The 26,377-nt window shown below is 34.5% G+C and overlaps 1 protein-coding gene across 3 annotated transcripts in view; it reads left to right on the forward strand.

Annotated features, from left to right (window-relative positions):
* CRISPLD1 (cysteine rich secretory protein LCCL domain containing 1) overlaps nucleotides 1-26,377 on the forward strand; it is a 50,054-nt gene that overhangs the window by 8,676 nt on the left and 15,001 nt on the right. The window contains exons 1-9 of one of the 3 annotated variants that reach the window (NM_001286778.2): nucleotides 6,975-7,229; nucleotides 19,253-19,371; nucleotides 19,710-19,842; nucleotides 20,807-20,922; nucleotides 21,632-21,732; nucleotides 23,385-23,525; nucleotides 23,701-23,761; nucleotides 23,867-23,933; nucleotides 24,140-24,270. In NM_001286778.2, coding sequence (NP_001273707.1) covers nucleotides 20,861-20,922; nucleotides 21,632-21,732; nucleotides 23,385-23,525; nucleotides 23,701-23,761; nucleotides 23,867-23,933; nucleotides 24,140-24,270 — 563 coding nt within the window. In that variant the 5' untranslated portion in view covers nucleotides 6,975-7,229; nucleotides 19,253-19,371; nucleotides 19,710-19,842; nucleotides 20,807-20,860. Of the gene's footprint in view, nucleotides 1-6,974; nucleotides 7,230-19,252; nucleotides 19,372-19,709; nucleotides 19,843-20,806; nucleotides 20,923-21,631; nucleotides 21,733-23,384; nucleotides 23,526-23,700; nucleotides 23,762-23,866; nucleotides 23,934-24,139; nucleotides 24,271-26,377 lie in introns of those variants that run through there. The other 2 variants (NM_031461.6, NM_001286777.2) reach the window with 2 other exon arrangements.

Consider the following 26,377-nt stretch of genomic DNA (forward strand, 5'->3'; position numbering starts at 1 on the left):
GCCAGGAATTGATTGCAATGAATATTTTATTGCAATTAAGGTTTAATGGCAATTAAGGTTATTGCAATTCTTGATTCCTAAAATAAGAGTTTTCTCTCTGTATACTGTTGCTTGACTGGTCATTTTCAAAAGTTAAATATTTTTATCTCTGACATATAGTATCTGCACATACCTAAAGGTGTATGAAATTTCTGTTTAAAGAATATCATTATTACTTAAAATTACTAAAGTTCCCTTATTCTGAATTTAAAATAGCTTATTTAATTTTCCTAAGGTGTTTTTGCTTTAATAGTATTACTGAGATACAATAAGTTGTTTTAAGTATCATTTTCTACAGAATTTTGAAGTTTACAAAACCTTAATTTGAATATTTTTAAGACTTCGACCTTTAAAGTGAATGTATTTTTCTTTTTGAAAATTGCACCATAGATGACAATACCTATAGAAAAAAAAGTGACATTACAACCCAGTTCTATTCTCCCTTAAATGTTAGCAACATATCTAGGGGTTTAGAAAGACAAGAGAAGAAAAGTAGTTTCAATAGGAGAATGGAGCATCCAGAGCCTGAGATATGCCACAAAATTTTGGAATTGTGCTTTTATTCATTCCTTTATTCAGCATGTATTGGGAGTTTACTAAATGCCAGGCACTATCTAGGGTTCTAGTAGTAAACAGAACAAACATTCTTCCTTGCATGGAATAGATGTGAGTCTCCAGACAGCCAGGGTGCCCATGTGGCAGACAGAGGGAGCATGAGAAGTGTGGTAGGAGATGAGGTTACAGATTTAACTGGGGAAGGATGCAGATCATCGTAAAGACTTTCTTTTAGCTGAGTGATAAGAAGCCATTTGAGGCATTTCGACATATGAATAGCATGATCTTACTTACAATTACTCAGGATCATTCTGGCTTTGTTGAGAACATACTTTAGGCAGTGCGAAGAGGACTTTAGATGGTGGGAGGAGCACAGCTGTGAACAGGAAGACAAGGCAATTGCAGTAATCGTACAACAGTTGATGGTGGCTAGGAGTGGGGTGGCAGCCACGAAGGTAGTAAGAAATGGAAAGAGTATGAATATAAATCCCTATGTGATCATAAAATTAATCTTGAAAAATTCAAGGAGGCCTTGTTGCAAGATGAATGAAATTGACTTGGTTGGCCAGCCAGCCAGTAGGCTGGGATTTCCTGCATTTGATGCAAGATCTAAATCCATCCAAGCCTTGGCTACTGTGTTTTGAAAACTGATGGCAGTTTCCACTCTGGTTTGAATATCAGTGGAGAAGATTCTGGATCCTTCAACTTGCAAGGACTTCTGGAATGGTTGCAGAGATTCCAGAAATCTCTGGTCACCCATTTTACCCACACAATTTCAAGAGATTAGAGGAGGTGGAACCCAACCTCTGTCTCCTCCCTTCCTGGGATAGATACGCCTGCTGTTTCCTCACCTAGTCTGCCTTCCCTCTCAAAACGCAATCTGCTTCCTCCCTCCTTAAAAACAGAAAATGAGAACTTTTACATGAGAAGTAGAACAGGAAACTGTCCAGTTTCTGCCCAGCAATCATTATTAATTGCACTATCATGGGGAATGTCTTTGGGATTTTATTTCATTTTGGAGGCAGTGCAGATAGATTTTGCATATGGGGTATAGCTGTACAGTTTGCGCCATTAGAACTTGGAAGCATTGTAGTTGTTATTTTTTCTAAGATGGGGAAGAATATGGATAGACCAGCTTTAGGTAGAGAAAGATGGGGCGCAGTGTGAGACATATTAAAATTGAGATTTAGCTTAGATATCCAAATGAATGTGTCAGGTATGCCATTAGATACAAGGCAGTTAATATATGGAGGCCAATCTTGAACATGAAATTAGGACCCACCACCATTTAAGTGGTATTTAAACTCATGAGGAGAGATGAGATCATCAAGGGAATGAGTATAGATAGAGATGTTCAAGACATGAGTTATTGACACACTTTAAAGTGTAAAGGCAGGGAAGGTGAGAAGGAAAAACACAAAGAAAATTGAGAATTAGGAAGAAAACTAGAAGAACATGATGACCTGGAATTCAAATGAAAAGCAGAAAGGGTGATCAGCTCTGTCAAAGGCTGCTTATAAAGCTCAAGTAAAATGCAGATATGACAATTTTATAACATATTTGACAATGTAGAGGCTACAGAAATCTGATAATACAGTCTGGGTGAAGTCATAGTGGTCCCAGACTGGTTCAAGAATGGGATCAGAAAAATTAATTCATTACTTATTTATCAAACATGCAACATCTCCTGTGGGTCAGGTAGTTCCCACAGTCCTTTGTTTTGAGTCAGGGTCTCTGTCCCCTAGGATGGAGTGCAGTGGCACGATCACAGCACACTGCAGCCTTGACCTCCAGGGCTCAAGCCATCCTTCTACTTCAGCCTCCTGAGTAGCTGTGACTACAGCAATGTGCCACTAGGCCCAGCTAATACACAGTCTTAACTCTCTTCCAGCCTGAAGTTTTCAACTTAGTTTTAGAAGAGATAATTCAATTAGGGAACATATCTCAATTTTTATGATGATAAATAGGAAAATGTAATTTCTTTGCATAATTTTTTTGCAAATTATGCCTCTATTTAAAATGGATGCCTTTATTTAAAAATGGAAATATTAATTAATCATATAATACCGATTAAGAATTACATTTAGTTCAGGAAAATTCTCTCTTTGCTATTGTTCAGGCTGTGCTCTCTCACATATTCCTTACGGGAATTTATACACCAAATTATTGCACATGCTTTAAAACTTAAATTCTCATATTTTTAATGATTTTTACTAACTCGAAGCCAAGTGTTTATAAAAATGGCAATGGGTCATTGCTTTATATATATATATATATATATAAATACGCATGTGTTTTATATATATATACATGCACATACATCATGGATGTTTATACATATATGCATATGTAATACATGTATATGTGTGATATTTAGTTTACAGAAAAATGTGAAAATTCAAGTGGTAATGAATTATCTGGTGAAGATATTACAGTATTTATGTCTAACCATGTTCTTACTTTCCTAAATATTTGTTGCCTTCATAATTTTTAAAAGCTGCTTGTAAGGCTTTTATAATTGATTAAAGTGATTTGTTATTATTGATAAATTTATGTTTAAAAAGGCATTTAAATCAACAAATATTGATTGAGCACTTATGTGACACACTGTTCTTAATGCTGAGGAATGCATTAGTGTATAAAAAGTTTGAAAAGTTAATGAAAATAAGTAGAGTGAGGTGATAGAGAATGAGGGAGGTGGAGCTAATCATATTGGGTAGTTGGAGAAGGCTTTTCTGAATTGGTGAATTACAAGGAGTCAGCTAAGGAAAGATACAGAGACCCATCATTCTAGGCAGGAGAAATACTAGGCACAAAGTCTTTAAGTCAGGAATAAGGTTGGAATTTAACAAAGAAGGACTGTGGGACTGAATTTTATTCCATAACAGGGTAAGTATTAGAAAATAAGGTAGACATACCAGCATGAGCCAGAATCTTTTTTTTTTTTTTTTTTTTTTTTTTTGAGATAGGATCTTGCTCTGTCACCCAGGCTGTAGTGCAGTGGCGCAATGATGGCTCACTGCAGCATCAAATTTCTGGGCCCAAGCAATCCTCCACCTCAGCCTCCTGAGTAGCTGAGACTACAGGCACATACCACCACACCCAGCTAATTTTTAAATTTTTTGTAGAGATTGGTCTTGCTGTGTTTCCGAGGCTGGTCTTGAACTCATGGGCTCAAGTGATCCTCCTGCCTCGGCCTCCTGAAGTGCAGGGATTATAGGCGAGAGCCACTGTGCCTGGCCCCAGAATCCTTTTTGGCCTTTTAAGTGAATAAAAATTTGTTTTATTTTGAATGAAATGGAAAAGCACTGGACAGTTTCTCACAAGGGACTGACTTGCTCTTATTTCCAGTTTCAAAAAATTACTGTCTACCTTATAGGGAATCATCTGAAGGAGGAGAAAGACTGAATGCAGAGAGTTAAGAGGCTATTGCTATATTCTGTGTGAGAGATGGTGGTTACTTGGATCAGGGTGATAGGGGTAAAGATGGAGAAGGTGAGTGGTTCCACGGTATGTTCTGATGGGATTCCCGATGGGTTTTGCTGAAAATAATGTGAAGGGTGAAGGATAAGGAGGAATCTGGGATGTTCTTAGGTTTTTACAAAGCTCTTTGGTGGATAGTTGAAGCATTTGCTGACACAGGAGGAGAAACAGGAGAAAGTGAAGATGAAATCAGTAATTTCTTTTTGGCTGAAGTTTGAGATGCATGTCATCCTTAGTTATGTTTAGTGGTCAGTTGAGTGGTGGGACACAGGTAAAAAATATGGAAATAATGTAGCTATTAGGAACTCTCTGAACTGACTGAATAAGATCACCCAAGAAGAAGGTTTTTTATAGACAAGGGTTGAATGCCTTAGACTGAGCCGCGGGGCATGCAGCTATATAGAGGTTGAGCCGAAAGAAGTTAGCTGAGAACCAGTGGTCAGCAAGGTAAGAGGAAAGGATAGGATAGGCTGGTGTCCCAGAAGCCAGGAGGAGAGTTCAACAGGAAAAAGTTAACCTTTTTCACTATTGCTGAGAATGAGATGAAGAAGGAAAGTCTACAATGGTTTTGTCAATATTGAGGTCACTGATGACCTTTCTGAGAGTAATTTCAGTGGTGAGGAATGCTCAGAAGTCTTGTTAAGCAGATAAGAAGAGAATGGGAGGCGAGGAAGTAGAGAAGTAACTATCTCAAGATGATGTTGCTGTGAAGAGATCAGAAAAATGGGATAAAGCTAGAGGGACATAAGGGAAAGCTTTTGCTTTTTTGTTTTTTAGAGAGCATGTTTGCAGGTTGCTGGGAATAAATAGGTTGAGAAAGCACTTGGCATAGGAGAAGAAAATATAACTTATTCTAACAGGAAAAGCTGAGGTTGTTCGTATAGAAGCAGGTAGTTTGGAGCGTTTAATGAAGAAAACAGAAGGGAATTATGTGAAAGCTTCTCTTTTGTCCAGACACAGTGAACTGTCAAGATCATCAGCTGAGTTGAGAGGGCAGGAAAGAAGGGGGTTTGAGGATAGGACATTATGAAAAAATAGTAGTTTTGGAGAAATTGCCTTAAGGATATTTGTGGAATCAAATGTATGGGAAGTTTTTAAGTGCTTTAAATTAACCTGTTTTACCATGCTTTGAAGTTCTTAGGTTTAGTCCAGCGCCGTGGCTCATACCACGGCCGGTAATATCAGCCCTTGGTTGCTGAGGCAGGTGGATCACCTGAGGTCAGGAGTTCGAGACCAGTCCTTCAACATGGTGAAATGCCGTCTCTATTAAAAATAGAAAAATTAGCCAAGTATGGTGGTGCATGCCTGTAGTCTCAGCTACTGGGAAGGCTGAGGCAGGAGAATTGCTTGAACCTGGGAGACGGAGGTTTTAGTGAGCCAAGATCGTGCCACTGCACTCCTGCCTGGGCAACAGAGAGACTCCATCTCAAAAAAAAAAAAAAAAAAAAAAAGTAAAGTTCAAAGGTTTAATAGCAGTGAAGAAGTTTACTATATTATTTCAAGGTATTGCCAGGAATCAGAGATTTAAAGTAGTGGTTTCTTCTCTGATTTGCCATTGGTCACACCACTCTGTCCAGCCACTTTACATGGTGTCTCCTGCTTGCCCTTTGGAGACATTTGACTAGGCAACATCTGGAGACTAGAACGAGATAATCAAAGACATGTTAGTAACGGATTAACTTTTTAAGTATTCAGATGTTAGATAATATGGATCAAGTACAGATACATACCAAATAGCATGTTTGGGGCTCATATTGCAGATTGAATGCTAAGTACAGATGGTTGTACAGGAATCTAAATAATGAAAATTATTTAACTGTTGACCCAAATATGTAACTTGGATTACTGGGTTATTAAACTGGCTAAAAATAAGAACCTGAAACTGATCTGGCAAAGGTTACTTTTTTCTTCTTTTGACTTGTTAACAGAATCAATAAGGTGTGATTAAGTCAACTACTTATACATACATACATAAAAGACAGCAGATTTTCTATATTGGCAGCTCATAAACCTCAAGGCAAACATTTGAACAAGGACACAGTCTATTTAGTAAGCCATGCATGCTTTATATTTTAAGTTTTAAGCCAAAAAGTATTTTGAAATTAGCAGGATATTAAAGATAGAAAGCATATTTTTGTCATGGCAAAGCAAGTAGGTATGATTTTGGAGGGTAGAAATAAGGTGTGCTTTAGTCTAATACTACTCAAACTTTAATGTGCCTATGAATCCCCTGGGAATCTTGTTAAAATACATATTTTGATTCAGTAGTTTTGGGAACCCCAATATTCTGCATTTCTAACAAGACCCCAGGTGATGTGGTGGCCGCTGTTCTAGCAACCTCATTTTAAGTAGAAGGCTTTAGCCTTCCTGGAGGAAGTGGGGTTTGAATTGGGACATGAATAATTGTAAAATACAGGTTCTTTATTTTCTCCCTCCTCAACTATCACATTCGCCTCCCTTTTTATAAGGTAGTAACTGTAACTATTAAGGCAGGAAAATGAAATTTCTTTTTCTTTTCTTTTTTTTTTTTTACAAAGTACTTATAATACACAATGTTGGAGAAGTTTGAACAATAATTTTCTCTCCTCTAAGGCCAAATGTTGAAGTCAATCTAATTGGAAGAGAAATGGGAAATGAATCTCAAAATTAGTTAATGACAAAATTCTGCTGGATAGTGAAAGTGAAATACAGCCACCGACAGAATAAACCTTAAAGGCCATATGAGTAAGAAGGGAGGAAGTAGAATTTCAGTTGAGTAAGTATGAGGGGTTGGAAGGCAGCAACTAGATACAAGGATAATGAGCTATTAGGCAAGACCAGGAGTGAACATGGGAGTTACTGTTTCTGGAATGTCCCCTGTATGTCATAGCAACTCAAACAATACAAAGTAACCACCAGAACGCTGGACAATCCAGTAAAGGTGCTGCTGGTAATAAAACATGAAACTATATCTTATGCTTGGTCAAGACGTGTCAAATCTGTATCTGAAATAGTGAATGAATGAGATCAGATGTTGTCCAGAGAAGGAAAATCAAATGATAAAAGTGTTGAGAGAGGGGCAGCTCTTGAAGGAAGATGGAATAAGAACATGGAAACTCCTGTGTGGAAAGAAAAGGCCAAGAGGTCTGCTAAATCAAGAGTACTGTGAATAAGTGAGTACAACCTGAACAAATACAAAGCAGTGCTATCTCACATGAACATCTACCATGTTATTCCGTATGCCTTGAGATTTTTGATGCTGAACAAATCTTGCCAAGCCTGCTGCCCTTTGCAGATGTGAGAATGCCTATTGCCCTCCCTGTTTTCTTTGTAATGAATTTCTCCTTTCTGCTTCCTTTAAGACTCACTTAGAGCCTAACCTGCTTTTGTCTAAACCCTCCATACAGAGTTAGGTGCCCCCAGACTCAGTTCTCTGACTTCCATAGCCTCATTTACATGCCTCTGCTTGCAGTGTTTACATCCTTGTCTCTTTCTCTAGCCTCACATTCCTTTGTAGGAAGGGACTGTGCCATGGTAATCTTTGCATTCCCCAGTTGTGTGGCTGACACATGCCCTAAGCTCAGTTTATGTTAGCTGGAAGGAAAACAAAATGGGATGAATGAAAAAAAATGAAAAGATGACTAGATTTTCAACAACAATTTAAAGTGGACAGAATAAAAAGGATTGAATTCTGTCTTGACAAAATAGTTTTATTAGAAAATTGCAAAAACATTCTTTTTAGTGAAAGCTTTTCACTAAAATATTTTACATAATTACATATCATTGCAAGTTTGATGTGATATGTAAAATATTTTACATATCCTGAAGTACTCTATTGAAAAATATAAAATTATGTAAAACATAATAAAAATATAAAGTCATGTAAAACAATTTTGTGTATTTTAAACATAAATTATTTTATGCAAAACAATTTTACATAAAACACAATTTTATATAAAACAAAATTTTGTGTTTTTAAATAGTAGAATACCTTTTGGCTTAGGGCAAACATTCATTTTGGGTTAGTGCAAACTCATTCTTTAATAAACATGACAGGTGGCTAAATTATCACTGGATTTCAGTGACTTTCTGAGTTGCACTGGGTTACTGACATCTCTGTCTCATGATTTGGGGGTGGCCAGAACCCCTCTGAAGTTCAGGATAGGATCTTCCAGGAGATACAGTGATCAGAATGCCAAGACTCTTGATGAACTGTTTTCAAGATGTAAGTCACAGTATGGTAAGAAGTACAAAGTAGTATATTTTAAACTGCATATAAATCATGAAGAATTTCAGAGTAAAGCAGTGAACAGTAAAGCTTCTTAAAAGAGGTATGTTTTGAAATAGTATTTGGTAGAAGTTACCGTCATTGTGTGGAAGGGAATATGGTGAGACCCTTATCAGTAAGGGATTGTTGTGACAATATGTGTCCAGCTGATTCAATGGGGAGGAAATGGCAGTCACAATCTGTGTGAATTGATTTAAGCCTCAATTATGGAGATATTTAGGCTTGGTCAGATTTTCCCAAATGGTGGAAACAACCTTGTTCTGTCAAGTGTGAATCATGGCAGACTTGAGCATCATAGCACTATTCCATTTTCTTATCTGCTTACTTATGATGAAACGTTTTATTTGAGGTAATATGACCGTATTAGTCTAACTTTTTAAAGCGAAACATTTATTACAAATTATTTCCAAACTTTGAGTTTCTTGACCTTTCTTGACCTAAAAAATGTTTTACATATATATGTATGTTAGTGAAACCTGAACTTCAGGGGTACTTGGAGGCTTCAGTTGGAAATGAATCTCAGATTTGTTTTTAACAAAGGTCTTAAATTAGTTAATTGTGTAAGAATTTACAGCAAAGCTAGGAGTAACATACTCCAACCTTTGTTTTGTAATTCATGTTGTCTTAAATATGAATTATAAGATTATTTACTCTCTCATTGGAACTTTAGATAGCAGTGATTATCTTATTTTTCAGTCATTCAAAATTTTGAATTTTAATTTCTCTCTTACCCATATAAATACCAGCAATGTTCCCAATGTGAAGAGACAGGATACATTAATTACAGCAAATCAAGCAGATTCTTATAGGAACAGGGGAAGAAGAGAAAATTCATTAAGATCTAGTATGTGTCAGGTAACAGGTTGTTAGGCAGTTTGCTAATCAAAATTCTGTGAAAGATTTATATTTTCAAATATTTGTTTCTCAGCAGGAAACAAATGCCACAATAACTAGGGTTCAACAGTAAAAAAAAAAATAATAATAATGATGAAGGGCCTATATGCAGAGTTGTGGGCAGGATTAAGGCAAGCCATGGGGTGTGGCAGGGTGCCCAGGCTTTTGTGGTCCTGACACAGGCTGGTGAAGACAGGTGCCTGGAAGCAGGGTTGTGTGAGAGGACCCAGTCTCCATCACGGTGAGGCCAAGAGGACTCAGAGGGGCAACACGTTCTGAAATTCACCTCCCACCCTCGGAATTCCTGTTTGTGTGTTTCCTTGGCCAAATCTAACCAGGAGCCAGGGGGCAGGAGAGCCTGAGGTAACTCAGTATGTGGAGCTATCTCGTGAGACATAGAACTTGGCAGGAAGGTGCTGAGATGGCTGTGTGGGGTAAATGAATATTTAACACCATCTTCTTTCTCAGAGTTCTAAATAAGGACTTTTGAAAACCATTCTTTAAAAAATCATCCTTTTAGTCATTGTTTTAATATTGAGGAAAATAATGCTATAGTCATATTCCTGAGGAATGTCTAAAAATCTGATTGAGAATGCTGTGGTTCTTAAACCAGCTTTGAGCTTCATGGCATTCAAGGAAAACAGGAAACCGTATGTTGTTTGTAGCTCTCACTGCCTGTTTGCAGGCACAGCAATTTATCATTCTTGAGGCAGGAATTATTAGTGGAAACTTATCACAGAATTGTTAATATAGCAATATAGAGACACTGAGCAACGTAACATAGCAGTTTCATTAAAAGTATGTAAATATACATTTGAATGTTTCTTATATTAGTCATCTTTGGTTTAAATTCAAGTTTGGATGTCAAATTGTAGATTTCAGTTTCATTGTGTCCATAAACTTTCTTCTTTTGTCCAAGAAGTTTTTCACTTTTTAGATCTTTTTTTATTTCATTTTGAAAATTTGGTGTCCCCACATAAATACACAAAAGCAATTATTTTTTATTTACTTTCAAAACCTAAGTTATGGTTATTTTGATATGTGAATATAAAACATAAACTAATTCATAAGTACATACTGTAGAGGGATTTTTTAATGAGTTTTCCTATCATGCATTTTTATAGACTTTTAGATCAATCCTGCATCTATATAAAATATACTGGGTTGTGAATAAACTAAACACAGATGTTTATTCTTACAAAATGGCCTAATGTCTATAGATCAAGACTTAAAGATCAAGAAGTAAAGAATATGTATAGATCAAGACTTAAAGTACCATCAATTATATGATACATTTGCAATTACTAAAGATTTTCTTGATAAGTGAGTTAGGTAAGGTATGGCCAAACTTGGGGCAGGGGACCTTGACACTGAGATGAGATGAGCTTAATCAGTAGAAATTCTATAGAAAATGTAAGGATTGTAATTCTATAGAAAATTAATGGCTTTGCTATCCCACAAAGACAATAAGCCCTATGTCATGCATCTGATGTAATATTAAATGTGATATATTTATATATTGATACAATGGGTTTAATTGAAATAATCTTGTGAGTATATCTGCATATTAAGTTTTCATTACAAAAGTTATTTTAATTTTAATAAAATGTAGAGGAGTTTCCTAAACTGTTAGCTTGCTACTTTTTTAAGGTTTTAAGCCTTTGTTTTAGATTTTAAGTGAAACACTACCACACATGCCTCACATCTCTGAATTTGCAGGAGACCCTAATTTGTGCATTGCCTTAAGGTAATGCTTCTTTCTCAGTAGTTGGCAAAGTCACTGTGCCCTGTAACACAAGTGTTTCCTTTGAAATCTGAGCCTCGTGCATTTTCCCTATAACTACAAAGTCTATTCAGAATGGGTGAAGCACAACACTTAAAATACCTGGAGTAATTGAATTGTAAGGAATGCAATACAGCTGCTTGCCATAGTGCATTTAATACCAGATGATTTAGTCACAAAAGCATCTCACACTCTTTCAGCACAGATTTATTTACTTATTTATTTCATTGACGTCTGGGAGAAAATTACATAGCTTTACAGATTTTATAATGAGTCATTATATTTGAAATTTGAATCTGATGTATTCTGAACTGTCCAGTGTGATATTTTCATAGACTAACAAACTATTGGGGTATCTTGGAAGTTAGGTTATTGCTGTAGTTAGGATCACGTTGACAACTTTATCAGATTCTTGGATTGTAGTTTCTGATTTAAATAGGAAAACACAAAAGATTTGGGGAGGGATCGAAATAAGATGGATGATTTACAAACCTGTTTTATTTCAGAAGTGGTAGCATAGTAAGAATTATATTTTAAAGCAGTATTTTTAAAAAGATAATTCTGTATGTCTTTGATTTTCTCAAATCACTTCTGCATTCATGAGCTTGAAAAATTCCGGTGTTCCTGATAGCTGTGCAAAAAATTATATTTAGAAGTCTGTGCTTTATTTAAATGTTTTACCATCATATTTTCAGGACTAAACTGAAGAGAGGCCTGTTTTTAACTTTTTATTAAGATTATCTTCTTACTCAACTAAATGGAAAGTTTTATTGAAGGTTCTATGTTGTATTTATCTGTTATTAACAATATCAAAAATACTTCGAAGAAATTGAGCTCTGCTCTCATGGGCTTATAATTAGAAAATCTGAAATCTCCTTGGTTATCACAAAACGGCTTCTCAAACAGCAGTTTGAGAACAGCTTTTGCTTCTTAGGTAATTGAGATGCTCTTCATTGTCATTTTAATTGTCATCAGATGCCTTTATTTGTCACCAGAAATGTTATTTTACAGCTAATTCTTATGGGATACTACAAGCAATACAGGGTATCATCTAAGAGACTGTGAAGTACAAACAATGGAATTGGAAAGCTAAGTCTTTTCGATTTAAGTACAAAAGAATTCGGAAAGACTTATTTCAGCTCCGTAATGTTAGAGATAAGGAAATAGAAACCAAACTTGATATAATCAAAGATATAAATTTGGAAATAATTTAAATGGGAAAGAGAACTCTTCCAGGGTGTTTCATGTATTTTATGGTTTGAGTCATTTGAACAATGCATACTTTTGTATCTGTCTGTATAATAAAAGAAGAAGAAAATTGATCACGAATGCCCTTGACTTATATAGGTCCAGAACACACAGCACTAAAGAAGGGGTATTTTCAGCACCATTGAGCATAATTCTATCATTACTTCTGTCAGCCCTTGACTGCTCAGAACTGGGATAGGTAGGATTAGAGATATTGGAGTGCTTTTCTGAGTTAAGCATGCACATTTATGTGTCTCTAAAGAAGGATGTTTGGGGAATTTATTGTTCAAAACTTATTGCAAATGCTAAGACAGTTTTAAAAATAATTTTATCATTATTTTCAGCTTTCACTAGTGGAAAGGTAAGACTTTAGAGCCTCCAGCCTAGATCCGGACTTCCAGCATAACTGCCTTTGCAATGCCACCATATTTCCATTAGATTATTACTTTGCCAGAGAGAAATGCATACTTTATTTTGCTTTGTAGATTCAGGGGGTACAGGTGCAGGTTTGTTACATGGATATCTTGTATAATAGATATCTTGGGCTTCTAGTGTGCCCATCATCCAAATAGTGAACATTGTACCCAATTACCAGTAGGTGATTTTTCATTCCTTATCCTTCCCATATTCCTCCCTTTTGGAGTCCCCAGTGCCTATTATTTTCCTCTGTATGTCCATGCATGTGCCCACTGTTTAACCCCCACTTATAAGTGAGAGCATGCAGTATTTGACTTTTTGTGTCTGAGCTAATGCAATTTTAAAAGTCCATATTGTGAATTATATCATGGGCCAGTATTTGTCATCTAATTAGGCTACTTAACGGTATAATAATCCAATTAGGAATTCTTTTTGGCATTTATCTTGGAAGTCCATTAAGGCTACATCAGTTTTGCAAAAAGTTGTACAACAAATTCAATCATTTCTATATTATCTATACTATGTAAAATTTTTAGATGATTAATTACAATTGTTGCTATTTTCCAGTTTTTTTGAGAAAGGTTTATGTTATCTATTTAAGACATTTTTCTCAGCATGTCTTTAAAAGTCTCATTGTAGCTTCATCCAGTTTGGTGAAAGTTTCTACAGTAGCCAAAAATCTTGCAATCCTATTTCTTTATATAGGGACTAGCATTTAACAATTATGAAGTTATGTAAGAGTTTCTAGTCAATAATTATTTCTGTGTAGCGGTTAGGGTGTTAAGCTATCCATGCTGGTCAACTTTTTATTAAAATTTCATTATTTACTAATTTATTTTATTTATTGAGGAATCTAAAGAATTCTGTAAAACTACTTAACAAATTCAGTGTCATCCTGGTCTCTGTGGTAGACTAATTACAACTTACCAAACAACTTTGTGGATAAATGAAGGCCCATCACCTCCACCCCACTAATCTTTGGGGGTAATTTATATGTGAAAGTCTGATTACACAAATTTGCATCAAGCATATAATCTCATAAAACTTTATATCCTTTAATGTAATCCAAAACAATGCTAATTAATGCAAAACATTTAACATTAGATCTTCTTTGTGAAATTAATGTTTGATATTTATTTGAAAAATAACACCTTCCATTTTAGTTTTTCATTAACATTCTTGAAACCTCAATTATCAGAAAATACTCTCTTCAGACAAATTCTTAGTTATTAATTATTGGTCTTCAACTCTTGTTTAATGTAGTACTATAATAATTTTGAAGTTATAAAGAGTAAACAAGCCCCAGGAAATGAATTTTCATATTATGTAAATCTGGAAAGAGTATTAATTTACTATGGTCAAGAAGATATATTTGAAAATCCTTAAATCTTTTTAAGAGAAAAAAACTGTGTCAAAGAGAATGAAAAAGTTGTATCACTAATTACTGTTTTTGCATAATATACAGTGATGCAACCTACTGGTAAGCAATACTGCTGGCCTAAATTACATTCTTGAATGATTTCCAGCTGTCATTGACTCTTATTCGAGCACCATAGCAGGTGTTCCAGTGGGAGCTCAACTCATGTTTCACAAAGGATAGCAAATTTTTATGTATCTAGATAGCTGCATAATTTCTCATTTCTATGATATTTTAGTACTAAAGTTACTATGTATTTGTAGGTTTACCAGTTTTCAGTTATTGTTTGTTTGTTTGTTTTTTTGAGACTGAGTCCCGCTCTGTCACCCAGGCTGGAGTGCAGTGGCGCGATCTTGGGATTACAGACGTGAACCATCGACTTTTTTTTTTTTTTTTTTTTTTTTAAAGAGACAAGTTCTTACATTGTGGCCCAGGCTAGAGTGCAGTAGTATGATCATAGCTCTCATAGCTCACTGCAGCCTCAAACTCCCTTGATCCTTACAACTTAGCCTCCCAGCTTGTTGGGACTACAGGCACGTGACACCGTACCAGCTAAATTTTTCATTTTTTACTTTTTGTAAAGACAGGTCTCCACATATTGCCCAGGCTGGTCTGGAACTCCTGGCCTCAAGTGATCCTACCACCCTCGCCTCCCGCAAAGTGCTGGGAATATGGGCATGAGCCACTATACTTGGCCTGGTTTAATTTTGAAAGTTATCTGTCAAAAAGTTTAAAATTTCTCATACACACACTTGAGATGAGAAAGCCTTCATGCTGAACTAGTTTAAAAATATCATTGGAGACAAAGAATGTCAATAGTATTCTAAATATTTCCTTAAGTAATAAAACTTCATTGAAGGCGTAACTATGCTCTAAGAAGGAACAACTTTCAGATGTAGTTGGGAAATAGAGTTGTTTTCATTTTTGCACACCTCAAGTGTATAGAAATGGGTACCCAAGTACTCATTTTATAGAGAAGTGGCAATTGTAGTGTGGTTTGTCTTTAAATTAGTGCTGGGTGAATAGTTCAGAGGAATTAAAAAAGAAGCTCTTTGGGCCATCTTGATTTAATTTGTAAACCTGATTTTAAATAGAAATGTGTAGGCACTAACCTACACTTAATGGGGTGGGTAGAACTTACTGGCAGTTTTAAAACGTGAAATAATATGTTGTAGCTTTAACAAATATGTACCATGCTTATTGTTAAGTCATGATAGAATTTCTTCCAATAAGTTTTTAAGACTTGATTTGTATTATTGAACTTGACCTAAACAGGTATGCTTTATTCGATTCTGTGAATAGATAATTACTTTTAGTCACTAATATTAATATTGATAAAGAACTAAATTTTAGTTGCATGCCCCTCTGCTTCAGCACTTATATTAAAATACTGTATGCTATTATTTTAGCAATATTATAGTTTATTCAGTATGCTTTTCCCAGTATTTTTAATGGATTAAATAAAATCATAAGTCATACCTTAAATACAGCTTATGCATTGTATATATTCAACATTGAATTTTAGTCCTCAAAGTGATCGGAGTTACCTTCTATTTCAGCTAACAAATTTACAAATAAGAAAAATTAGCTTAAAGTATTTGAATAATATGTTTTACGTTTTATTCCGATTTCTATACAACAGAAATATAAGCAAACTTGAAACACTTAAATACACTGTAGTATATTAAACTAGTTAGGAACTAGTTGTATATCTTTTCTAAAAAGGATCCATTTTCAATTTCATAGGGAAAACTGACACCTAAGATTGTAGAATCGTGTGTGAAACAAGAGTAAATTGAACTTGAGTAGAGGCCATGAGGATTCTTCTAAGAGCTCAGCTGGATAGTCCTCACTTGAGGTGTCTCATGATTGCCCTGACTTGAGTTGCTGTCATCTGAGGGCTGGCAAACTCACAGGTCACATGCCTCGGCTGGAAGAACTCACATCTCTGGAGTTCTCTCCATATTTTCTTTCCAGCTACCTATTCATGGTAACTGGACTCCTAATTCATTGGCTTAAGTCTGTCACGATGTGTCTTAACAGGAAAAAAAAAGAAAAAAAAAAGAAGCTTTGTTTCCTAACCTAGCTACCGAAGTCTCCCAGCCTCTTTCTGTTTATTAGAAGTGAGTCACTATTTAGCTCAAATTCAAGGGAAGAGGGGGGAATTCAACTCCACCTTTGGTGGAAAGGGTATTTTAAAACCATCACAATTGTTTCAAAGCAATTATTTTTAGACTTCCAGGAACTGTTTCTATTTTTCCTCTGTTTTCTGGCTGCTCTTTGAATATGAGATTGATATATTAAAAAAAAAAAACCTACAGATAAGTGTAGTTATGTCCTATGTATAACTAGAGTACTCTGCAAGAATCTGATTTCCTGGATTGCAGACAATGATTTGTCCCCTAAGGACAACCTATGTCTTTAGGGACTCCATCTGGAAACCTGCTTACTTTTGAGAGACGATTACTTCTCCAACTTTCTAGATACAAAAGGAAATCAACATTTTGCCCATTTTCTGGGACTTCAACCAAATTCAGTGTTTCTTACTTAATTCTTCTTTGGACAAATAGTGACCACAACTTGAATTATACTTTTGTATAATAAACATTATATATAATTATAAAATTAGGTCAAAGTTAAATGGTAAAGTTAATTAATAATATGCCTGTAATTGGCAAATAAAGTGCTTACCTGATAATACTTGTTTATAGCATTTGTTTCTGATGTCCATGTCTTAAAACCATTCATCTTGAATATTTGACACTAATTGAAAGTAAAATTAAAACTTTTATGAAAAGCAGCAACTCTTGCTGCTCTTGTATTTTTAGTCGCATATACACTATTTTTGTATTTTTGCTAGAAAATTAAGATACACTAATGATGATAATAAACTTATTCTAATTTTGTATAAATTTCCCTTTGTGATTTGATCCATATTTCAGAGCCACAATGGAATGGGGAGGAATATTCACCAATGAAAAATTATATGAATGAATTAGGAATCTTCTTCTCCTCAAACATACATTTCTTTTTACATGCCTCTTTGTCCCTAGGGTGTTTTCCTTTTGGCGTATTGACATGATTAGATTCCCTGTATCCTTTAAAAATCAAAGCAAGTGAACAAATTCTCTCTAGACTCTGGCATCTCATCTATAGCTTCTGCCACATTTCTCTTCCTCTCTAAAGTATTGAGAAAGTAACTCACATTTGTTTTCTGTACTTCTTTCTTTCTCTTCACTTATTAATGCTCTGTGTTCTGATTTCTTCACCCATCATTGATCTGAAGTTGCTTTTAGTCATGAATTAGTACTTAGGAAATCTTGGTTTTCTGTCATTCACACTTGTTACCCATTCTCTACTCCCAAAAATATCTTCTCTCTCTCATTGCTTTATAATTTCATATTAATTAGTTTTTCTGTAACCTCTTTTATCCTGTCTTGCCTGGCTTCTTTTGTTATCTTGTTAGAGTTTTTTCCTTTTAGATTTTGATAACCCCAGAATTTTCTTTTTTATTCGTCTTCTCATTCTATATAATATTCCCGAATAAATTTATCTCTGGGTGAATAACTTCAAGATTCATATCCTCAGAGCACATTTTTCCTCTGGACCCCCAGTCATGTAGTTCTGCTCTCTACTTGGCATATGTGCCCTCATACATCACCATTGAAATATGCATGGAAATACCTAGACACACACTTGTATTACAACCATCTATTTCTCTTTCCCTATTTCCTTTCTTCCAATTTAGTAGTATCATCGGTCTTACCTTTTCTTTCGCTTACCACCTACTCCAGCCATTTATCAAGTTCTAGGAGTTTAAATTTCTTTTTTTTTGTATCTTTATTATTATTATTATTATACTTTAAGTTTTAGGGTACATGTGCACAATGTGCAGGTTAGTTACATATGTATACATGTGCCATGCTGGTGTGCTGCACCCATTAACTCGTCATTTAGCATTAGGTATATCTCCTAATGCTATGCCTCCCCCCTCCCCCCACCCCACAACAGTCCCCAGAGTGTGATGTTCCCCTTCCTGTGTCCATGTGTTCTCATTGTTCAATTCCCATCTTTAAATTTCTAAACATCATTTCACTGTCTACTCTTTTCAGCTTCATCACTGTCACTTGGGTTGTGTCCTCAGGTTCCATTCCCAGATTTGTTTTCCCGTTTTCGTAACATGCCCGGAGTCTGTAATTGTAGTGCTAAGATTGAACCTAGGTCTACCTAACTTGGTGTTTTTACCAGCACACATACTATACTGCATATTTTTCAAATTAATAAGTTGAATACTAAACCCAGGACTTGGAAAATTATTTCAGTAATCATTTCACTAAAATAACTTAATCGGTGATTTAAATTATTTCTTTTTAAATTATTTTAAAAGAATTTGTCATTATTTAATTTTAATTTTATGTCTACATATATTTTATGAGAATCAGATTTGTTAATCATTCATGTATTTAACAAGCATTTATTAATCACCTTGTCCAGATGATAGACACTAGAAATAGACCAAAGATAGCAGCAGCACTGTCCCATTCAATTTACAGTCTCATGAAAAAGATAGATATGTAAGCAGATACTGATATTACAATGTAATAAGTGCTAAACAAAGGAATGTAACAAAGCCTTAGGAGTCCTAAAGGGATAGCTTACATCTAAGAGAATTGATACGATGTCACAGAAAAAGTATTTTATAAAGCTGGATTGTGAAGGAAGAAAGAGTAGGGACTTGTCTGACAAATAACTGGGAGAAGGTTGCTTAGGGAGGGGAAACAATGTCAGCAAGAGCAAGGACTTGTATGCTTAATGATAGGGAAGAGTGGGACCCCGGACCTTGGACTTTATGTATATGGGGATTTGTTTTATGTGTTTAGACAGAGGAATCACTTCAGCATATTCGTGTTCACTTAAGTAATTGTAAAGACGTATGGGGCAATTTGGAGGGTTAAGAGGTAGAGACGGGGAGATTGATTTGGAGGCCAGTGCAAAAACTTAGATGACTTTTGAGTCTGATGAGAATCCAGACTATGATGTTGACTTTGTAAAGAAAGAAAGAAGAAAATGTAAGAACTGCTCAACACTGTGTTCTGCAGAAGTGTCCAAATGCTACATGTGCACATTTTGCTTTTGTTTTAAACTGTAGACATGGGATGTAGAGCTGGAAAGATCTGCAGAATCCTGGGCTGAAAGTTGCTTGTGGGAACATGGACCTGCAAGCTTGCTTCCATCAATTGGACAGAATTTGGGAGCACACTGGGGAAGGTATCTTAAAGCACAACTTTTTCTTTATGAAAAAATAAGTGTTTAAAATGAAGTCCTTATTAATTCATCAGTACAATTTTTCAAAGACTTGGTGCCTGAAAGAAAAGTAATCACGAAACAAGTAACAAAAAATAAATGCCACACCAGAACAATCAGCAGTTTTTTAGACTTTAATGTAAATCATCAATTTATTAGTAATGTAAGGGGCATAAAAATTTAAGTTTAATAGTTTACGCCAAAGTGTCTTTCTACCAAATTATACCAATGTATTTTGCAATATTTAGTTTTGTATTTTCTCCAACTTTGCTTGCCCTCTGTGACTATTTTCTTTCTAATAGATATAGGCCCCCGACGTTTCATGTACAATCGTGGTATGATGAAGTGAAAGACTTTAGCTACCCATATGAACATGAATGCAACCCATATTGTCCATTCAGGTGTTCTGGCCCTGTATGTACACATTATACACAGGTATGTTTGGGGGGTATTATACTTAATTCCCCCAAATTGAGTTAATGTAACTATGAAAGAAATTAGGCTAGTGAACTTGTCTTTCTTATTTAATATGGTTATTAAAAAAATTTATATGGATATTGATTATGTTGAATTGGCTTACAAAGTTCTATAAACAATGAAAATAATTATCACACAAAAAAGTCCAAACATCTACTTAAAAAGACATTATTTCAGTGATTTTGCATATCAAACATTTTTAATATAGCCCCAGTAATATGGGGGGAAATTTACCATCTTCAATGTCAAAGTTTTATCTCAAGGAATAAAAATATAGTTTTATTTACCAATGACATTCAATATTTACATGTGCAACATATATATATATATTTATATTTCGTGTTCACAATTGGTATGTTCTAAACTTCCAAATCAAACAACTAAAGGCAGATTGATAAAGCTCACTGCTGATCAGACTTATTATCAGTGAATATAAAGCAGATTGATTGTTCTGTATGCTTTTGCATGTGATAAGATTGACCAGCATCAAACTACCTGATAACCAGTGGCATGATGAAAAGATCATGTTGTATAAGAAATCTGAACATGTAAATTTTTGCTCCAGTATTTGCTGTTTAGGATGTGATTTTCTGTTCCTTTGTCAGAAAAGTTTCTTCATAGAAATGTTAATATGACATTAGGTTTGTGAGGATGTAACTTTTGAATTATTTACTAAATTTGCATTTGAAAATGCTTGCATTTTATAACCAGACACAGTTATTTTTCTGTAGCTCTGTTTTTAAAATTGAATTAGGTATTACTCAAGGTCTCAGGAAAAAGACCCTTTTTGATTTGATCTCAGTTCATTTTGAATGATAAACGTTGGCTTCTCACATTCAAATTTTATGCATTTTTCTCTCAGAAGTGTTGTCCTATTTCATTTCAGCCTGCTTTTTCTGAGCCTTTCATTTTTCTAACATAGGTCGTGTGGGCAACTAGTAACAGAATCGGTTGTGCCATTAATTTGTGTCATAACATGAACATCTGGGGGCAGATATGGCCCAAAGCTGTCTACCTGGTGTGCAATTACTCCCCAAAGTGAGTAGACAAAACACTACGTTCAGATGTACATTTTTCTTAACAAAATGAAAATACCTTTACGTTCCTGATTGTTCCCCATTTTCAGTGTGTATCACTGAAGTGTATTATTTTAATTCTGTTTATTTAATATGGCAACAATTGTAGTTGCCTAATGCATAAAATAAATGCATAAAGGGGGATATGAAATATGAAAGTATAATCTTTGTGAATATGGGAACCATATTTTTATGTCTTTGGTTTTACTCACTATACTATCCATAAATATTGAATAATTGTTATTTATTAGAGATTAACAGCTATACATTAATTGAGAAATGTATTTTCATCTGTGTAAAGACCATTTAAGGGATTATGTTAACAATGTGACACAATCATATTTAGGGTCAAATTCAAGTTTAATAATGTGTTTTTATTAAAGTAAATGGAATATAGTGAATATTCCATGGCAGAGTTTGGCTTTCTGCAAAAGTTTGATTTTGTAATTTTTAACAATATGTGTTATAAATTACTTTGTAAATTTTCAAAATGAGGCAGTAATTTATATTTAAACCTAGTAACCAGAAGGGCTCTATAATAAATTATATGAATGTCTTAAATCTATACGCCAAAATAATTACTTAGAATGTTCATATATAGTGATGTTTCACAATGTTTTATAAATTATGCCATTAGACTACTTTTTAATAGAGCGTATCATCTCTTAAAGGGGAAACTGGTGGGGCCATGCCCCTTACAAACATGGGCGGCCCTGTTCTGCTTGCCCACCTAGTTTTGGAGGGGGCTGTAGAGAAAATCTGTGCTACAAAGGTAAGTGCTATTGTGTTGTGGTATTCATGTTGATTTATATTTTAATCCAGCTCCTGCATTACTTATGTTTAAAAAAGCCAGAAGTGCACTTAATGATCACACGAAAAGTATCTAGAACTCTATTTCAAATATTTTGAAGAAATCTTTTACAAATATTTATATTACTAATAAGTTTGTTATATGAAATTTTTAAAGTTCCATGGTTATTTCAGGTAACTATTTCTGATTCTACTTTGAAATTACCCCAGAATGACAAGTATATTTATATTCTTAAAAAGAGTCATCTTGATGTATGGTTGACTAGAGTTATTTCCATAACTGTCATCTTTTTTTAAAGGATTTAGCAATTTAACACAATTTATTTTTAGCGCTTTAAACATTTTTAACAAAATACCCCTTTGTGTATCTTATTGAACCATGCTCAATGAATTATGTTGATTTTTCACTTCTCACTGCACACTATTCAATTTGTCATGCTAAAATAATAAGAAAAGTATAATAGTAACATAAAACTACTATAAAAGTAGTACTGTCAAATGCATTTGATATCTTAAAAAGTAAATATGGTGTCCTGTTTATAGCACATAAAGATAAACTGTTATGACAAAGCTTTGTGAAAAGTCATGCACTTGTGCATTCAAGTGAACATTTTTTACTGCCTTGTACTTTTTTCTTGATGACTAAAAGAGGAATAATGTAGACGAAGTGTATTAGGAAATATTTGAACAATTGCAGCCCTTTTTTAGTGCTCATAATGACACGTGTCTTTTTTTCCCTTAATGATGCATTAACTAAAATGAGTAGACAAGAAGTGCCCATATATGTCCCTCTGTTGTGTAAGCCATTTTAAAATTCCTAGAAGCGTTTGCAGCATTTTTTCCTTGTGTGGGTGTTTTTCATATTCTCTGTGTCCAAACCTCCAACCTACCTGCCTCTTCCCCGGTGACCATTATCTTTTACTTAAAGCTGACTTTCTTGTGACTTCATACTTTTTTTTTAGGTTCTGAGTTCTTGGGCATGCATCAAAATTATACACCTCTCCAAAATGTGCCATTGTCAAGCCTTTGATAAAGGCCAGTCTGGAAATAAACATTAAATTCAAAGTTTGAAATTACTCTCCATACTCAAGTTTAAATTTCTGCATATTGAATTTTCTTCTAAAGGAAAAAAACTCTATGGACATGGATTTTGTCATAAATAATAAGGGCATGTAAATCCTTCTTTAGGCCACATTTCCATTTGGGAGAAGTCTAAATGTGATCCTCCTGAAAATATTAAGAATATGATTTTAATTGAAAACAAATTTGATTTTGCTAAGCCATGACCTTATTAGATCACTGTGTAGATTTCATGGTGTCATTATGAAAATCAAACAATGATATGTTGAAATATAAGCAAAGTTTAGAAGTGGCTTCATTGAATATTAGTCGAACATTAACATAAATGAATCAAGGACTTAAAGGCTTATGTGTGTTCATTTATTCCACTGCAGTACCTAAGATCACCACCTTAAGCCAAAACCTGTGCAGAAAAACAGTACTGATTTTTCTAGTTCTAAATGTTAAATAGGAGTATTAAAGTATATTATTATTTGATAATTCATGCACATGTAAAATAGGGTTAATATTTCCTAAATCTGCTTTCTCTAACAGAAGGGTCAGACAGGTATTATCCCCCTCGAGAAGAGGAAACAAATGAAATAGAACGACAGCAGTCACAAGTCCATGACACCCATGTCCGGACAAGATCAGATGATAGTAGCAGAAATGAAGTCATAAGCGCACAGCAAATGTGTAAGACCTCCATATTACTTATAAAAATTTTCAAAGTACATAAATGGTATATCCATCAAGATTTTATTAATTTGAACATTTTTAGAATGGAAAAAATTTTGTCATTAGGCTATATATAATGAACTACAACTGCTTTTATATTATTTAAGTTATTTAGGTATTTTTTTCTTTGTAGCCCAAATTGTTTCTTGTGAAGTAAGATTAAGAGATCAGTGCAAAGGAACAACCTGCAATAGGTAATATTTGTTATTATTTTGAAAATTAATTGAATATAATAAATATTTTTATTTTGTACTGACATTCAGAGAAACTAAATTTTGTGCCCAATTACTTTTATTTAGGTACGAATGTCCTGCTGGCTGTTTGGATAGTAAAGCTAAAGTTATTGGCAGTGTACATTATGAAATGGTAAGTGTTATAAATGTAATTATTTGAGGATAGAGTCATTCCATGTAATATTTGATTTTTATTGTGCAAAATAACACCTTACATAAGTATAGATATTTTGCTCAGAAATGTTTATTTAATTGAAAGTCACATAAGTGGTAAATAGTTGGGACTTATGCAGAACTCTAATATTTTTAACATCTTTTTATCTCCTCCTTTTTTCCAAGCAATCCAGCATCTGTAGAGCTGCAATTCATTATGGTATAATAGACAATGATGGTGGCTGGGTAGATATCACTAGACAAGGAAGAAAGCATTATTTCATCAAGTCCAATAGAAATGGTATTCAAACAATTGGGTAAGTACCAAAATAATCTTTTGGACCAGATAATTTTAAATTGTAACAGTGAGCTAACACATTTTTTTTTAGAGCAAAGCATAGAATAATTTAAGAAGAAAGAATTTGGTTATTTTCAAGGTTCATTTTAGCTTGTAGTTTTCTTAGACAAAAAGAAGATAACGCATTTAAGGTCAAAGTTGAACTCTTTTGCTTTTAATGGGCATGCTAAAACTCCAAATTTTTGAGTTTCATTAAAAATGTATAAATTTACAGTTAATTCCCAGTGTAAAGCAATACATTTTTTAGCTTGACAGAAAATACCCTGAGAAGGGTAAGTAATTTGCATATTCTTCCTGTCCTATTTAGGGAAAATGGCTTATTTCATGCAACAGTAACTTTGTTGATAAGATAAATTACATTAGAGAAAAGAGCATTTTGAAAAGTTCTCTAAATATGTATTATGCTATGTCATCTTTCTTTTGTCCATTTAAAAGTATCCCAATATAAAAGCATTTAATTTTATTAATGTTTCTCCTATTAGGTGTACCAAATACCTTATTCGAAAACACTGTACATTTTTACATGTACCGTATAGAAAGTAGAAAAATGGGGGCTTTTGAAATACCTCTTTAGTGTCTTTTTTTCCCTCTAAGTAAAACAGTAAACATTACTGAAGTTCATACAGAACTCCTTTTCTTAGGAAATTTGACATTGTCTCTTTTGTTACAATACAGTTGCATGAAACTTCACAGTGGGGTTAAGTTAGAATTAATAACTATAAAAACTATTAGGAACGCTCAAAAATTTGTGGAATGATCTCCTATACAGTCTTTTTTTTTTATTGTTGTTTTTCGTTTGTTTGTTTTGTTTTTTGTCACCCAGACTGGAGTGCAGTGTCACCCAGACTGGAGTGCAGTGGTGTGATCTCAGGTCACTGCAACCTCCACCTTCTGGGCTCAAGCGATTCTCCTGCTTCAGTCTCCCAAGTAGCTGGAATACAGGTGCGTGCCACCATGCCCAGCTAATTTTTGTATTTTTAGTAGAGACGAGGTTTCACCATGTTGGCCAGGCTGGTCTTGAACTCCTGACCTCAGGTGATCCACCCGCCTCAGCCTCACAAAGTACTGGGATTACAGGTGTGAGCCACCACATCTGGCTTATACAGTCTTATTAAAAGGCTTGAAGGGTGGTTTTTAGCTGTTAGTGATAACTCTTTTTAGCCAAAAAAAAAATTTTTTTTAAAGACAGTCTCACAAGTTCAACTTTTCCTGCCTCAGCCTCCCAAGTAGCTGGGACTACAGGCACGTGCCACCATGTCCAACTAATTTTTGTTATTTTTAGTAGAGATGGGGTTTCATCAGGTTGGCGAGGCTGGTCTCAAACTCCTGACCTCAAGTGATCCACCAGCCTCAGCCTCCCATAGTGCCAGGATTACAGGCGTGAGCCACCACACTTGGCCTGAAGTTCTATAGAAATATTCATTAATTAACCTATTAACTTGGAAAACATTTATTACTTTCAATAAGTAATAAATATTAGTTATTAGCTTTAGTAAGCCAAGCAGTGGGTGTTCTGTTAAAGGACATTTATCCTGTTATTTACTTCTTTTCCTCTTACTTTTTAGTTATCTCTATTATAGAAATTCTCTTGAAACTTGAAGGCTATATTTAATAGATTGTATATTTTATGCCTCAAAGAATGTTATTTCTTTTGGACACGTTATAGATGATGAATATTAAATACAGAATTTGAAGCTGATGGAAATAAAGAATTGTTGAAACTTTACACCTTCAGTTCTGAGCTAATGTATTCAGAGAGTGTACCATGTTAAAGTACCATCACAAATAAGCCTTACCTTTTGCAATAGATGTTATATAAACCTATTAAAATTTTGATGTATAATTATGTGCCTAATCTTATATTTCAGCTTTTTAATAATGCATGTGATGAGGAGAAGTTTATTCATTTTACTGTATAATTTTGCTAGATACTAGGGGGAACAAAAAAGGAATAATGGACGCTCCCTTAGTTACTTATTATTTTGTAGTCTTTTCACAACATTGTCTTGTATTTCCTGTTGTGAAAGACTAAATAGTTTGGTCCCGTGGAGGCAGGAAATTAGTAT

The sequence above is a fragment of the Homo sapiens genome, chromosome 8 (assembly GCF_000001405.40).
Source record: "Homo sapiens chromosome 8, GRCh38.p14 Primary Assembly".
Classification (NCBI taxonomy): Eukaryota; Metazoa; Chordata; class Mammalia; order Primates; family Hominidae; genus Homo; species Homo sapiens.